The 17041-nt window shown below is 46.2% G+C and overlaps 1 protein-coding gene across 1 annotated transcript in view; it reads left to right on the top strand.

Moving 5' to 3' along the window:
- Positions 1-14143, top strand: part of RNASET2 (ribonuclease T2) — a 34438-nt gene extending 20295 nt beyond the window's left edge. Inside the window, exons 7-9 of the mRNA NM_003730.6 lie at positions 2120-2165; positions 5138-5212; positions 6465-14143. Of these exons, the coding sequence (NP_003721.2) occupies positions 2120-2165; positions 5138-5212; positions 6465-6668 (325 nt within the window). The 3' untranslated portion in view covers positions 6669-14143. The remainder of the gene's footprint in view (positions 1-2119; positions 2166-5137; positions 5213-6464) is intronic.

Genomic DNA, 17041 nt, shown 5'->3' with positions numbered 1-17041 from the left:
CCATTCATTCATTCATTCATTCATTCAGTAAATGTTCACTGAGGGCCTGCCAGGGCAAAGCACTACTGAGAGTATGTTTGCTAAAACCTATAAAGAACAATTATAGGAAAATTATATTCTTAGTTTCTCCAAGGGAAATCTATAATTCTTAGTGCCTTCATTTTAATCTAAAAATTAAATTAAGAAGTCAAAATTTAAGACCCCTCATTTTTCCTTGTAAACTGGTATCACAAATTATCTTTTTCTCATAGGTTGGCTTTTCAAATTATCATAAACTGGAACAGGCTGGGCACAGTGGTTCACGCCTGTAATCCCAACACTTTGGGAGGCCAAGGCGGGTGGATCATGAGGTCAGGAGTTCATGAACAGCCTGGCCAACATGGTGAAACCCCCGTCTCTACTAAAAATACAAAAATTAGCTGGGCATGGTGGTGCACGTAATCCTAGCTACTCAGGAGGCTGAGGCAGGAGAATCTCTTGAAACCAGGAGGCGGAGGTTGCAGTGAGTCGAGATCGCACCACTGCAGTCCAGCCTGGGCCACAGAGCAAGACTCTGTGTCAAAAAAATAAAATAGAATAAAAAATTGTAGCTTGTTTTTCTTCACTTCATAATATGAAGGCAGCAAACCTGAAAAACCACAAATCATCTTGAAGCAAAGTTGTCAGGGTTCCCATAGACACAGATGAGCTGATGGCACGTGCTAGAGTACCCACAGATAAAGACCTGGGATGCGTGCCAAGCTCATCTCAACTCAGCAGAAAGCATGATGCTGGGTTAGGTGCTGCATTTCCCCACATCTTTCTCTCTTTGCCGTATTCCCTTGATCACCCAAGTCAGGAGCATGCTACCCAATAGACGTGTAACACGAGCCACAGATGTCATTTTAAATTTTCTAGTAGCATCATTAAAAGGAGCAAAAAGAAACAGGTTAAATTAATTTCAAAAATATTTTATTAAACTCAATATATCAAAAATAGGATCATCGAAACTTAGGATAAATATTAAAAAATTAATAAGCTAGTTTACATTTTTTTTTTTTAACTGCAAAGTCTGAAACCTGTTATTCATACAACACCAACAGCTAGGGTAGGCGAGGTCCTGTGGGTTCGGGCCATGATGGGGCTGAAAGGACCCTGGTCCGGCATCTCGGTCCTTGTTCCAGGAACTCTGTGGCCAAGACAGTCTGACAATAAGTTATTGCCCACAGAGGATGTCTAAGTCTTTGTGTCCACTCTGTGATCGTGATCTAGAATTTTCTACCAAGGCTTGATGGGGAACTAGGATATTCTTCTGCAATGATTCAGAATTTTACAGTGTACCTTTATACTTTAATAAGTGAATTCTATATATGGTAGTTTGGTAGGATTCTGTGTAGAAGTGCTTTAGGAGGTGATTGAAAGCTGTAGGGACTTACCATACGGTTATGTATTGCTTGGTGATGGGGTATAAAATTGTCATGTGAACATCTTGGAGTGCACTTACTTAGCTGATACAGCCCACGACACACATATGCTTTGTGGTATAGCCTGTTGCTTCGAGGCTACAAACCTGTACAGTGTGTGACTCTACTGAGTACTGTAGGCACCTGTATGTAACACAATGGTAAGGATTTGTGTATCTAAACATATCTCAACATAGAAAAGGCACAGTAGAAATGTGGTCATATGGGACCGCCCTCGTACATGCAGGCCTTCACTGACTGAATGTCGTAATGTGGCGCATGACTGTGTTTAAAGATTTGTCCAAATGCAGTTTACCAGGATAAGCCTGGAATCCGATTTCAATTGCTGTCTTTTAAAGCAGGTGTGGCAAACGGGTGGTGATGTGTGTGCCAGCTCCACTCGGTGGTGGCCCCAGCGCTCCCATGCTCCGAAGGAGTCAGGAACTGGAAAGGGTACCTGCCTGGAGCAGTTTGTGTGTGTGCTAAGGGGTGGGGAAGGCGGGGACTGGGAACCATGTATTTGCAGTCCATGTTGACACATTTGTTGCATAAAGTCATAGAAAACACTTTCCTTTAAGAGTGTCTTAATTTTTACCATGAAATATGATACCTGAAAAGAACAAGAAAGCAAAGTGGACCTTCATTATACAGCTAACTTTTTTAAATTTAAATTTTAGTGTGCTTCTAAAATTGGGGATAAAACCATCCATCAATTACTACCAAGTAAGTCTTGCTTTTGCTTCTTTTCTCGTGTGTCTCTCCCGGGGACCTCCAGTAGGGCCGTTTCAGCCTCTGAGTCAATGGGCTGTAAATTGCCCCAGTGCAAACCCCCTTCCTACTTAAATGTTATCATGTGAACAGATTTTATTTGCATTTTATTTTCCTGCGCATGTTGAGTAGGAGCTGAAGGCTGCTTAGACCAGTGATTTGGAAGCACAGATTTCATGGCTCCCTTTGTGAGAAGTGTGTGCTCCAGGGTCCGGCAGAGCAGGTGGAATCTGCAGTTTCAAGAGTCACATTCACTTTTATAACGTAGTCTTATATTTGTTTGTGGTTTGTTTTCATGATAAAATTGTGATTTGTTTTATGATAAAAGAAACTATAGATATTTAAGCATGACAAGATGTTATTAGCTGGTAAGCATATACAAAAAGTTGCTTTTTGCCAGGTGTGGTGACTCACGCCTATAAATCCCAGGACCTTGGGAGGCTCAGGCTGGAGGATTGCTTGTGGCTAGAATTTCGAGACCAGCCTGGGCAGCAGAGTGAGACCTCTAGAAAGAAGTAAAAGTAGCTGAGCATGATAGTATGTGTCTGTGGTCTCAGCTATTCAGGAAGCTAAGGTCAGAGGATTGCCTGCGCCCAGGAATTTGAGGCTGCAGTGAGCCATGGTCGCCCCACTGCACTCCAGTCTGGGCGACAGCCAGATCACGTCTCTTTAAAAAAAAAAGAAAAAGTAGTTGTTTTCAACTCTTGGTTGCCTGTTTTTGTAAACAAAATTGTACTCCTTTGTTACCTGGGGATGCTTGTGCTCCCATGGTGTAGCTGCAGTAGGGACCGATGTGTCATCCACAAATCCCGGGATATTTACGACGTGGACCTTTACGGAAAATGTTTGCAGACTCTTGCCTTAGAGAAAGGTATCAGATTCTTTGAGATAGTTTTCGTATTTATCACAGGTTGTGGATTTAGAAAAAGGTTGAAAGTCACTGATCTTAGTAGTTCTGGGGCGATGGCTGGATGTTGAACAATTATTTTGGTATCTTGACTGTTTGTGAAATAAATTGGCAACAGTGTCTTTGCTCTCATGGTGTCTGCTTACCTGTGCAGCCATTTTTCCAGAGTGTGGGGAGCAGTGGACTTGAGGAAGGAGTCTACCAGCCCTTTCCAGACTCCCCCTCAACCCCAACCCCAGGAAGCCGTAAGATGATCGCTTGCAGGGCCCTCACCGTCCTCACCTGGACTCATGTGCGAATAGATGAGGGACATGTGCCTGCCATGTTTGCCCAGAGCTCGGTGTTCAGGGAACTGATTACAGGGGTGGCAAAAGCCACAGGGGCCACACATTTGCTGAGCTGCTTCCAGGTGCGAACGGCGCTTGTTTGGGCATCAGAAACAGCACGGTGGATACTCGGAGTCCTGTCCTTTGAAAGGAGTTTGATTTATCATCAGGAGAAATTTGTTGCTTTTGCATCCAGCATCCAGCCACGTATCCACTCATCTGTTTTATGGGGAAATCAGGGCTGCGGGAGCACCCAGGAGAGCTGCCGACCCAGACATTTCCTGGGAAATGCGTTGCTGAGATGGAGGCCTGCAGCCTGCCCAGGCCCTGAGGGGAGTGGTTCAGTGGAGCAGAGCTGGGGGCTGGGGGCTGGGAGATATGGGACCAGTTGCTTCTTGAGGGGGCTCAGGGGCAGAGCAGGAGGGTTGGGAAGGGGCCGGGTGGGAGCCATAGACATGAGGACCTCATCCTCCAGCAGCGCTGAGCTCTGAGTAGGCCGGGGTGTTTGCTTGTTGCTGTCCCCGTGGTACTGGGGAGAGGCTAGGCACAGAGACCCTCCGAGTAGGTCACATGCTGGGGGAATCTGGGCCTATGGCTATGCAGCTGGAGAGGAAGGGATAGTGTGGGGAGCTTGGACTTGGCCGTTTGGGACAGGGGGATGGGAGAGGCAGAGGTCCTGCCTCAGGCCTCCATAGGAGTGACATTTGCTGGTGTCAGAAGCTTGGCAAGAGGGGAGGATGATCAGACCCTGCATGGACAGTTCGAATTGGAGCTCTCTGCAGAGTCCAGGAAGAGAGGTCTGGATGGGAGGGAAGCCATGGGGTGGAAAAGATAGCTTCCAATGGAAGGCAGTGAAAACTCGCCATAAGTGAAGGAGAAGAAGGAGGCCAAGGAGATGGGGCAGGAATGGCAGCCGGCAGCCAGGCGGTCAGTGGAGCAGGTGCTCAGGAGGCCCACAGGAGAGCTTCGTGGAAGGAGTGGACAGTGTCTGAGGCAAGGGGCAAAAGGCATCTGCTGGAGCTGGTGACCCCAGCTTGGTGCCCCCCAAAGCCAGAGTACGAGGCTGAGAGGATGCAGGTGTCCTCCTAGGAGGTTTGAGTCAGAAGGCACGAGGCAGAAGCAGTGGGGGAGGACTCCCTCAGTAGAGCGAGGAGGAGGCCCCTCATCCAAGAGGAGGTTGGAGCACAGGGGGGTCTAGGTTTGCAGTTTCGGGACCGGTAGCTGAGGGGTCCCAGGGCCTTTCTTCTGTGAAGGAGAATGTGTCCACCGTGGGGAGGGGGTCGGGAGAGAGAGATACTTCAGAGTGGACAGGGCTGAGAAAGCTTTATGGGCCGCGAAAGGCAGAGTAGTTGTTGGTGGATGAGGGTGGCTGTGGCAGGTGGCGTTTCAGGTGAGACAGCTCGGGGCCCAGAAAGACACTGGGAGGAGGAGAGCTCTGCTCTCCAGAGAAACAGGAGCAGAGAGGAAAACAGAGCCGCAGCGAGCGGCTTGTGGTCTGGGGATGAAGCCCAGGTTGACAGCATCCTCTGCTTCGCTGGTGGAGGTGGGGGCATCATTCTCACACCTGTGCTGGGTCCTGTCCCTGCCAGCCAAGGGAGACCAGGACCCTGCCACTGTTGCGCTCAGGATAGTCCAGAACTGTCAGATCTTTTCTGTTGAAGTTTAATTTCTAATACACTTGTATTTAAAATCAGGTTGCAGATTTTAAAGATGCCCTTGCCAGAGTATATGGAGTGATACCCAAAATCCAGTGCCTTCCACCAAGCCAGGTTAGACAGTTATGTTTTGTCTTCCTTTTTTTCTCAAGAAGACAGGTTCTACTTTTCTGATGGCCTTGTCTTCACCATGCAGTTCCCTGGGGCAGACTTGTATTTGTGCATTTGTGTCTGTATATGTGGGCATGTGGTGTGTGTGTGCATGTGTGTGTGTACATGCATGTGTGCATGTGCTGTGTGTGCATGTGTGTGTACATGCATGTGGGCATGTGCTATGTGTGCATGTGTGTGTACATGCATGTGGGCATGTGCTATGTGTGCATGTGTGTGCATGTCCTGTGTGTGCATGTGTGTACATTATGTGGGCATGTGCTGTGTGTGCATGTACATGCATGTGTGCATGTGCTGTATGCGCATGAGTATACATGTGCGCATGTGCTGTGTGTGCAAGTGTGTACATTATGTGGGCATGTGCTGTGTGTGCATGTACATGCATGTGTGCATGTGCTGTGTGTGTGCATGTGTGTGCATGTTCTCTGTGTGAACATGCATGTGGGCATGTGTGTGCATGTGTGAATGTGTGCATGCATGTGAACGTGCTGTGTGGGCATGTGCGTGTGTGTGTGTGTGTACATGCATGTGGGTATGTGCTGTGTGTGTGCATGGGCCTGTGCCTCTGTGTGAATGTGCATATGAACATGTTCATGTACTGTGTGTATGTGTGCACATATGGGCATGTTCTGCATGTGTGCACAGGCCTGCACATCTGTGTATGTGAGCATGCATGTGTGTCTGTGTGAGCATGTGCTGTGTGTGAGCAAGCATGGTTTCTTGACAGCATGCTAGGACAGGGTTTGTCTTCTTGCTTATCTTTAACAAGAATATACCTGTTCTTTTAGCAATAGGGTACTGTTGCCCTTTTGGCCTACAAAAGCCATTTCTTCTCCTAATATCTTGATAGATATGTTGAGTGCTGTTGTATCTGTGTGTAACTTTGTTAATTTTCTCTAACATAAAAGCAGAGGCTTTTCACCAGGGCACCAGGCTGGCCTCTGGTGGTGACCAGGGGATCCAACCCCCAAGCCCAGCTCCACTGCCCACAGGCGAGTCACCTGGGGCCACTCCTTCCAATTTAGTGCACAGCAGCCTTCTGCTCAATGAAGGGGTCCGTTCTTGGAACCTAGAACCTGTGGTGTGGAGCCTCTGCTTTTGTTATCTTCTAAAAGTTCTAAAAGTTCATGATCTTAAGACCTTGATGATAATCCAAGATCTGAATTCTAAAGCGTCTTTCATTGTTTACTTTTAGGATGAGGAAGTACAGACAATTGGTCAGATAGAACTGTGCCTCACTAAGCAAGACCAGCAGCTGCAAAACTGCACCGAGCCGGGGGAGCAGCCGTCCCCCAAGCAGGAAGTCTGGCTGGCAAATGGGGCCGCCGAGAGCCGGGGTCTGAGAGTCTGTGAAGATGGCCCAGTCTTCTATCCCCCACCTAAAAAGACCAAGCATTGATGCCCAAGTTTTGGAAATATTCTGTTTTAAAAAGCAAGAGAAATTCACAAACTGCAGCTTTCTAAAAAACAACTCCAAAGTGAAGTCTGTTTATTTTGCTGTTTCCCCTCCATGCCTGTGAATTGGATGTTGTGGTCCCTGTAGAGTGAGTGCATGTGGCGTACACGGGGAGAAAGGAGCTCTCCCACGCCTGAGTGGCTGTTTTGTGCTTGGGATAAAGCTCACAGATTGTTTTTTTTTTTCTCTATTAAACTCTTCAGTGCCCTGGTAGATCAGGCAGGCATACTTGGAATTTAGACAGATGGCACCGATTCAGGGGACTCTCTTGCTCGAGTTTTCCCCTCGGAGCCTGTTGCCTTCTTGGCGCAGGGACCCTGTCAAGACGAAGAGCTCCACGCATGGCAGGAGCCCACGCTGATGCCTGGTGGGCCTGGGGGGTGTCTCTAGCTCAGACTGGGTCTGTTCCATGTGACCAGAGCCCCAGGACATCGTTCCTTAGCCAGCTGCTCCGTTGTTGGAGGCCTGGTGTGGTCACAGGTGTGTCCTAGAACGGTGACTTTGCCCCTCCTGCCCTAGGAGATTTGGGTGTATTCACAGAGCAGCCATCTCCTGTCTCCGTCAGAGCAGTCTCTTCCAGGTTACTGGAAGGTCAGTTTCTGTCAGGCCTCACTTCCTTCTTATCAGAGGGTAGCCAGGTCCCTGCACTGGTATCTATTTAGAAATGTACATGGAGCCCCCAGCGAAATGTGCCTACATTGTGTGTTCCAGAACCGGAGGTACCCTTACCTTCTAGATATGTGATGACATGGCTCTCACGTCAGGCAGACTGCTGCACCCACGCTCTCGGCCTGCCGTGCAGGGATTTCACTCGTGGAGTGAGGCATCTGGGGGCTGTGCAGTGAGGAGCTTTCCATGTGTTGTTAAGACAACCTGTTAGCATTGTCTTCTCCCGCGTCTCCTGGCCTCTTCTCTCTTTAAATCCTTTTCTCTGTTTGTCTTAATCACATTAACGTCCTATTTATGTTTTATTCAATATACATTTAAAATAGAACTTACTATGTGCCAGGCATTGTGTTCAACACGTGAAATATTTAATCCTTAGAATAACCATATTGTCAGCATAATTTACAAAAAAAAAAAAAACAGCTGTATCAATGCCTGTGAATATTCGGCTTTACTCGCCCATTTAAAGAAGAGATTTTCAAATTGGCTCAAACCAAAACCTCACTTCATGGTGTCTACAAGACAGTCTGAAATGCAGAATGTTCAGAGAGAGACAAAGGTTTACCAGGCAGATGGGACGGTGAGAAAGTAGGTGTCGCAGTCCTGATCCTAGACTCAGTGGCCTCTGCGTCCCCCGCAGGCATTAAAGGAGACACAGGACGGCCTCTGGCCCTCTGGAAACAAGCTCTGCAGTAAGAGCCTGAGACAGGCAGCACCCAGCCAGGCCTGACAGCTTCTGCAGACAGACAGAGTGAGATGATGGGGGATTTGATGGAAGCAGTCCCTGTATTTTGTCTCTTCTGTAATGGAGGAGCTGAGCCCTCTTCTGCAAGCTGTGGGGAAGGCTAGCGGAGCCCAAGGGTCCAGGGTCCCCACCTTGTCATTGTCCCTCGGCCCTTCTCTGAGCTCATTTCTGTCTCCAGTGTTTTTCTGTTGGCTTGGCAGGGCAGGATTTGTTTCTGTCGGGAACTGATGATTTGTGTTTTGATGCCTGTGAGAGGGACAAGATCTGATTTGTTTTGCACCTGGAAGGGCGTGATTTCCTGCATTTGCTCTGCGTCCTCAGGGAGTGGGTGTACTTTAGAGTTGGACTCTTAAGCCTCAGAGTCCTTTAAATGATGTCAATTCTTTTTTTTTTTTTTTTTTTTTTTGAGTCATTTTGCGAACACAGGGATCAAGGCTTGGGTTTTATCTTCATTATTCCCAGAGGAGCTGGTGAATTTGAACAGACTTCCTATTCAAATTGCATTTATTTTATAGCCTTGGGGGGTCAAGGAAAGCAGCTCTTCAGAGGCTGTCTGCAGTCGGCTGGCCTTTGCGGTTTTTAAAGAAGCCATTCTTTTTTTTAAGTAGCGTGTATTTATTATATGAGTGTGAGCATTTGAGAGCGGATGGGGACGCCAACAAGGTAGCATCCTGGTGGGAGGCATGGGCTGCGGAGTGCTGGTTTCCTGCCATTGTCACGTCAGCTAAATGGAAGAAGGCACTGGTGAGGGGCTGGATGGTTCAAAACATGAGCACAAGCAAATGCTTGGCTCTCTTAATATTCCTATTTTGGCCTAGAGCTCAGGAGCAGGTAGAACATGAGCGTTTGATAACCTGCCTCAGATCATGTAAGTATAAGGCACTTATGAGCCGCAGGAGACAGAAGGGGAAGACTCTGCGTTTAAGGTTCAGTGATGGAGATCAGATCCAAGCACATGTTTTTACATCATTAAACAAGTAGGTCGTGCATTTTCCAGATTCAACTCAGGAAGATGCAACTCTGACCACACGGTTCTCGCTGTAACTGGGCGGAGGTGACTGAGAAATGCCTCCCATGTGAGCGGGGTCTCAGGCTCGTATGTGTGGAAGGAGGAGCAGGCCAGGCTCTGGGATCAGAGCTGGGGGTACAAGTGTCTCCCAGGGGGACAAAGGAGCAGGCGCATCTCAGGATGGAGAGCAGCCAGGAGGGGCAGCTGGCCCGGGTCTCAGCCAGAGCAGGCGTCTGCCTGGAGCATCTCTGCGGCACCATGGAAAAGAGGACCCGTGGACTAGGCCACAGGGATGAGTGGAACTTATGGTGGAAAAAGACACCATAGGTAAAAGCGAGACAAGAAAACCAGGTTCCCATGAAACTCCTTCAGACCAGCCCCTTCTCAGCAGGGCTATTGCTGTACCCAAGAGCATTTCTCTTGGCCTGGGAGGGGACAATGCTTTGTCACCTGGAAAGCAATCCCTCTCTCCAAGCTAGTAGTGGGAGATCATTATGCGCTTGAATAACTAACAGTAGCAATTGTATCATATTCAGAACTAGATATCTTTTCTTTTCTTTTCTTTTTTTTTTTTTTTGAGACTGAGTCTCACTCTGTCGCCCAGGCTGGAGTGCAGTGGTGCGATCTCGGCTCACTGCAACCTCTGTCTCCTGGGTTCAAGCAATTCTTCTGCCTCAGCCTCCCGAGTAGCTGGGACTAGGCACGCCACCATGCCCGGCTATTTTTTGTATTTTTAGTAGAGTTGGGGTTTCACTGTGTTGGCCAGGCTGGTCTGGAACTCCTGACCTCAGGTGATCTGCCTGCCTCAGCCTCCCAGAGTGCTAGGATTATAGGTGTGAGCCACCGCGCCTGGCCCAGGTATCTTATCTTTCCACCGAAACTTTTGCCTCCATCTCGGTGAATGACATCACCATCCGCTTATTCCAGGTAGAAACCTCAAAGTGAACTGGAAACTTTTTAAAAAAATTTTGCCTAAATTGTGAAAGTATTCTGAATTATATTCAGCTTATCCTTCTCATTACTGACTTAGTTCAAGCCTCAGTCTCCCATCTGGGCCATGCATTGACTGCCACGCCACCTGACTGTCAGTGCTGGACGCTGGCACCGTGTTTGTGCCACTCTCCGTAACCAACCATGGCTCTCTGCTCCCAGATCACACCTCCCCAGTATGGCGGCTCAGGGACATTCCCTCAATCCCTCCTGCCCTGTTGGCAGTGCCTCCACCCACTCCCCACAGCCCATGAGGGCTCTGCTTAGCACTTCCTTGTGCCTGGATTCTCCGCGCAGTTTGGGTGGCCTGGAGTGCTCTTCTGCTCACCTAGTTTAGCAAGTTCCATGGGATATCAACACCCAGTTCCATGGTTGGCCGTTAAGAGTTCTTTTGCAGTCCTGGGTGGCTCTGCGCCTCCACGCCCAGGGACCAGGGCCTCTTCTCTTCCAGCTCTTGTTGTGTTACATAGAAGATGCCAGCTGGATGGCACAGGGGAGGGCCGTACAGTGTAGATGCGGACAATGTGGCATAGGTGAGGACTGGACAGCAGAGACAGTGGCTGCATGATGGAGGTGAGGGCTGGACGGGGGAGGCAAGGGCTGGACCGGGGAGGTGAGGGCTGGACAGGGGAGGTGAGGGCTGGGCAGTATAGATGAGGCCTGGGTGGCAGAGGTGAGGGCTGTGCAGTGTAGGTGAGGACGGGCTGGACAGGGGAGGTGAGGGCTAGGCAGTGTAGATGAGGCCTGGGTGGCAGGAATGATGCCTGGATGGAGGAAGTGAGAGCTGGGTGGCTTGAGTGAGGGCTAGATGGCATGGGTGAGGGCTAAGTGGCATAGATGAGGCCTGGGCAGCGGAGACATGGACTGCGCATCGTAGGTGTCGGCTGGACAGCAAGGGTGATGCCTGGACAGCAGAGGTGAGGGCTGGGCGGCAGGAGTGAGGGCTGGGCGGCAGGAGTGAGGGCTGGATGGCGTAGATGAGGCCTGGGCAGCAGAGGTGAGGGCTGTGCTGTTCCGGTTTTGGGCTAGACGGCAGGGAGAATGCCTAGATGACTGGGTAGAGGCCTGGGTGGGAGAAGTGAGGTCTGGACACTGTGGGTGAGGGCTGGATGGCGTAGATGAGGCCTGCGCGGTGGAGGTGAGGCCTGTACTTCTCCTGCCACTAAATCAAGAGCTGTTTATTGATTCATTCCACACTTTTTTCAACCCTTCCTATGAGCCGCCTCTCTTCTAGGCACTGGGACATGGCCATAAGCAGGGATCTTTTCCTCTTGGGCCCACTCCAAGAGTGGTGGCATATGCCACCATGCCCGGCTAATTTTGTATTTTTAGTAGAGATGGGTTTTCTCCATGTTGGTCACGCTGGTCTCAAACTCCCGACCTCGGGTGATCCACCTGCCTCAGCCTCCCAAAGTGCAGGGCAACAGACGGCAAGGGAAAAGAGGAGCATAGCTGGTGCATTTGATGCTGGTAGGTTGGAGGGAGGGAGGAGGTCAGAGTTATGAAGGCGGCCAGGGAAGGCTTCCTCGGAACCTGAAGAAAGGGAGACAGCAACTGCAGGGAAGGATCTGTGGGCCCTAATGGCCACGTCACACTACAAAGGCCCGGACTTTGTCCAACTCGCTTCTGTGCTCCATGAGTGCACCTGTGTCTGAGGCACATCAGCTCTAAGCCAGTGTTCTCTAGTGATGGAGTGAATAAATGAATAAAATAGAAAAGAGAGGCCGGGCGTGGTGGCTCATGCCTGTAATACCAGCACTTTGGGAGGCCAAGGCAGGCGGATCCCAAGGTCAGGAGTTCGAGACCAGCCTGGACAGTATGGTGAAACTCCATCTCTACTAAAAATACAAAAATTGGCCGGGCATGGTGGCGGGCACCTGTAGTCCCAGCTACTCGGGAGGCTGAGGCAGGAGAATGAATCACTTGAAGCCAGGAGGCAGAGGTTGCAGTGAGCCGAAATCACACCATTGCACTCCAGTCTGGATGACAGAGCAAGACTCCGTTTCAAAAAAAGAAAAAAAGAGAATGCAGCACTGGTCCCAGTGGAAGGTGCCTGCTGTTGGCTTCTCACCACGCCCAGATGAGGAAACATGCAGATCGCCTGTTTTCACTTTTTGTTTCTGCGAACTTTGGATCAGGAATAAAAATAATTTAATGCAGGTCCTAAGGCAGCTGAGAATTGTAATGTAAAATATTTTCAGAATTCAACTATATTGGCTAGATCTATCACTGCAGAAGGCTGGAAAAGACTCAGAAGTTAAAATACTACTTTTCCTCACAAGCTCTAGCTCCTGAAATGAAATTACCAGGATACAATCACAGATATGAAGTCAGTATTTGGGCGTCTATAGAAAAGAAGTCCATTGCATTGCTTATGGGATGAGCTACGTTTCCCATAGAAGGGGCAGTAGTGAGGGTTTTCTTATCTGAAGCAAAATCTCTGACAGATGATGAGAAATGCAGTTTTATGTCATTTTTTTTCTGATAAGAATTCTATTTTTTTTTTCTGAGTGACTGTAATGGGCCTTCCATTTATTTTAGACAAAAAAGACAGAATTAGCATTTTAGGCTCAGATGATAGTTATTAGAAAGTTTGAGATGGGCCAGGCGCAGTGGCTTATACCTGTAATCCTAGCACCTTGGGAGGCCGAGGTGGGCGGATCACTTGAGGTCAAGCGTTCAAGACCACCCTGGCCAACAGGACGAAACCCTATCTCTACTAAAAATACATTAGCTGGGTGTGGTGGCGGGTGTCTGCAATCCCAGCTACTCAGGAGGCTGAGGTGAGAGGATGGCTTGAACCCAGGAGGTGGAGGCTGCAGTGAGCCGAGACTGTACTCAAGCTTGGGCAACAGAGTAAGACTCTGTCTCAAAAAAAAAAAAAAAAAAAAAGGCCGGGCCTGGTGGCTCACGCCTGTAATCCCAGCCCTCTGGGAGGCTGGAGGTTGCAGTGAGTGGAGATTGCGCCACTGCGCTCCACCCTCCAGCCTGGGCAACAGAGTGAGACTCCATCTCCAAAAGAAAGTTTGAGATGGATAAAGTTAAGATCCATTAAATGCTGTATGGACTTTATGCTGACGTGCTTTTCACATTTCAGACCTGTGCATTCTTATGCATTTACATTCCCTTTATTTGAGGGAGCAAGAATTACACAATCACCTTTTCCTACCCGCTTTTAACACTGAGAAAAGTCTGCAGAGTGACAGTGGCCCATTTTTACCAGCAAAGACATTGAACCTGGCGTGTACAGCTTTGGTGGTTGGTACCTGTCACCATCTGCTCTTCTGTCTTGATGACCATATGTCTTGGACTGCACCCTGAGATGTGGGCTGCTCGTGCTGCCCCAGTACTGAACACAGCTACTTGAGCATAGTAGGTGTTTTGAAAATATTTAACCTGAATTGAGAAAAGATAGTCAGCAGTGGCCCAAAGATAACAACATACATCAAAAGTCATGTACAAGATTCAGCCAGTCACCAAGATGCTCCCAATATTCAGGGGCTTGGTACCTCACTAATCAAAACTGAAATGTCACCCGATTGGTTTTTCTCTGAATGTTTTAGAGCAGAATAGACTCAGCCATGGGAAGAGACATTTGAGTGGACTCTATTCAGGTTGATTGGAGTCTCCTCCAGGTTAATCATTCCACTTAAGTCAATGAGTGAAATTTTATACACCTGAGACTCTAGCCTATGGCAATTCCTGGAAATCAAGTGGTTTTTTTGATGGGGAGCCGGGGGATGGTCAGTGGGATGCAACTTGCTGATGATGAGAGATGAGGTGTAAGATATTATCAGGCAAACACCAACGAAACAGGCTTTACTATAACTCAGATCACCGCGCTTTTTGAGTGTGTCAGTGAGTAATCCATAATCACATTTATAGATACTTCTTTCACATTTATAATAATGTCCCCAACATAAACATGTAAACATGATCAACATATATGCTTAGCAGTTAGGATCCTATAGTTATCAATAAAAAGTGGAAGCTGTCTTTAAAAACAGAGAGAATTAATTGACTCAAGTCATTGAAAATTTCAGTGTGTCCACCTAAATGACAAACAGGCTCTCTAAAAGAAAATGATATTTATTTGGGCATAGGGCATCGCAATGGGAGTATGTGTGCCATAGTAAACTGCGTATTCAGGGGGGTAAAGGAGGACAAAGGTTTTTAATGGGAAAATACAAGAGGAGGATTACTTCACTGTTTTAAGATAATTATCTTTGGCTGCAAAGATGAATAACAAGGATGATGCCAGTCCAGGGCGGGATGGGCAGTGGCTGGTCAAATGCCCTTGCAGAAGTATGTTTTCCTGTAACATGGTGGTGGCCTTTGTGCAAGGTTGTGTTTTTTGTAGTCCTTTTTGTTATCAGGCATCGAGGCGTGAGAACCCACTCTTTATGGCCTTCCCTGGTGCTTTGTGAAAGTTCCTTTTGTTGGTTTGTTTAATGCCAGTTACTCCATTTTGATTCTGACAACTTTCACATTTCCTTTTTGAGCAACAAGGGAGGTTTGAAGTGGGTGACTCTCAGGCTAAGCCTCCTGGAAGTCCACTACTGAGTTCAATCTTGTCTCTCCTGCAGTCTTTTGCTATTATCTCTATTATCTCAAAGTGCTGGACCAACATTATTTTGTTAGGAGTTATACTTCTGAAAAAATTTAACAAACAACAGATACTAAGTTTAAAAAGGTAAAATACAAAGCAAGATTAATACTAATATGACCGTCTCAGTTTGCGTAATGGTTTTGCATAATAGACCTAAGTTTGAAAGGCAACCAATAGAATAAATCAAATAACCATGGGGAATTAGGTGAGACCTGTTGTAGCCATGTGACCTATCTTCTTATTTTGTATAACTTTCCCAGAGAAATTTATCCAGGTACAGCATGTGATATTAACAATAGTACAGACATTTTAAAATGTAACCAGTAGATACTAAGGATTTCTTGGGTCAGGTTCTGTCAAATTATAATAGAAGTTACTAATTGTGAAATTTCAATTATACCATTATCCTGCCAAGTGAAAAAGGTGGATATTAAGAGAGATAAGTCTCATATGATGTGGAGTCTCATTCTGATGTCATGTCTACAGCATGAAAAACATCAGCTTATCCAAGTTTACTGTTTGCGTGTCACTGGGTTATAGCATCGAGCAGTTTGGTGCACTTTCTATGGCTCATATATCAGACTTTCAGAACAAAGCAGTTTCCATTTATAGTAATTCTGTGGAGGACAGTGAGATTGGAGGAATCTAAAGGAATTCAGATCTAGTTTAGCCTATAGGCAGATAAAAAGAACTTTCAAATAACGAACGGGGCTACAGTCTAACAGCAGGTTTATGACAGTCTTTTAGAAACACAACTTTTTTTCTCTGCATCGATCACATAGGAATCGCAGGTTTAAAAACCTCTTGAGGCCAGGAAGCCAATCCAATGCAGACTTTGGGTTTTCCTTACAGCCTTAAGGCTCCTGGGCCTGCCAGGAAGTGACACTTTTTCCTCAATCACTTAAAACTGGGAACTCTTGAAGACAGACATTGTATACACATTCTTGAATATGAAATTTGGTCAAATCCTTGGTAATATAATCAAGGTTTACAATTTTATCCTGCTATAAAGATAACAGATTTTTATTGAACTTAGGCACACTGTCTTAAAAAGTAAGAATATGAATAGTTACCAAATTTTGGAGGAATCAAATAGGGAGAAAGAGCAAATGTTTTCACCTTTATTCACAAAAGTATACTTTACCAAATTGCTGTAGACCATAGATAGCTTAAGATAGAATGTTGTCTTAAATCTGGTGAACAAAACATTTAAGTAAAGAACTCAAAATGTTTTAAACAAAAGTTACAAAAACATTGTTATCATCAGTTACTTAATTTTATGTAATTAATTTTTTGTTTTGCTTGATCTTGATTAGCATTCCATGAATGCTTCAGTTTTTGGTTAGAGTTCTGAAAATTGTTATTTAGTCCATTGATCTTAAGGTTTTCAGAAATCTGTGTTCAAGAGTGCTTGTTAGGGTCCTTTCCATAGAAAGCAATTTTAGACTATAGCTAATTGCAAATGCTTTTAGAGAAAAATTCAAACAGTAAATGTGGATGATAAAAGCTTACACTAGCTATGGGTGAAAATCATACGACAGTTCACAATTGACAAGAAAATTTATTTCTTTCTATTGCGGCATCTTAAGAGAACACCCAGAATCATGAATGGCAGCATCACATCAAGACCATCGGACTTTTATAAATTCTATATAACTTTTAGAATACATCAACAATATTCATATAAATATAACTTAAAAGAAGGTTTAGCAACCAAAATTATGACTGATAACATACTAGATCTCTAGGAATTTATATAGTTTTTGAAACATTCATATCAGTACCATTCCCATAAATGTAACTGAAAGAAGATCCAATACCACTTATCATTTGATGATGTTTCCCATACGATTTACTAAATAAGTCTAATCATGTAATATCTCTGTAAGATGAGAGATACATTCTTTCAGGCTCCCCAGGGACCTAACTGGAAATCTCAAAGTTAATTCTAGGTCAAAAGACTAACTTCAGAATTTTGATCCCAAGGAAGCCTGTCATTATATGTCAAAAGGTTTAAAATGCTTGCTCAAAACAATCATAGGTCACTGTGCAATAACAGTCATTTAACAAGAGTGATAATGAAAAGACTTTGAGAGCAATACAGAAAGTTACATGGATGTGAAAACCTTAACTCTTTCAAAGCTCAGTTTCCCGAAGTAATCAAAAACCTAATAAAGACAACACAGAAAATTATCTTGATAAAACATAAATTCTTTATTTTTTTAGGCCAGTTACCAAAAAGCCAAAGAAAAACCTCTTACGGTGTGAGTGCTTCTCCTTGCGGGAAGCTTGTTTAG

The sequence above is a fragment of the Homo sapiens genome, chromosome 6 (assembly GCF_000001405.40).
Source record: "Homo sapiens chromosome 6, GRCh38.p14 Primary Assembly".
Lineage (NCBI taxonomy): Eukaryota > Metazoa > Chordata > Mammalia > Primates > Hominidae > Homo > Homo sapiens.
Note: the sequence above shows the minus strand (reverse complement) of the source record. Positions and strands in the feature narration are given on the sequence as shown.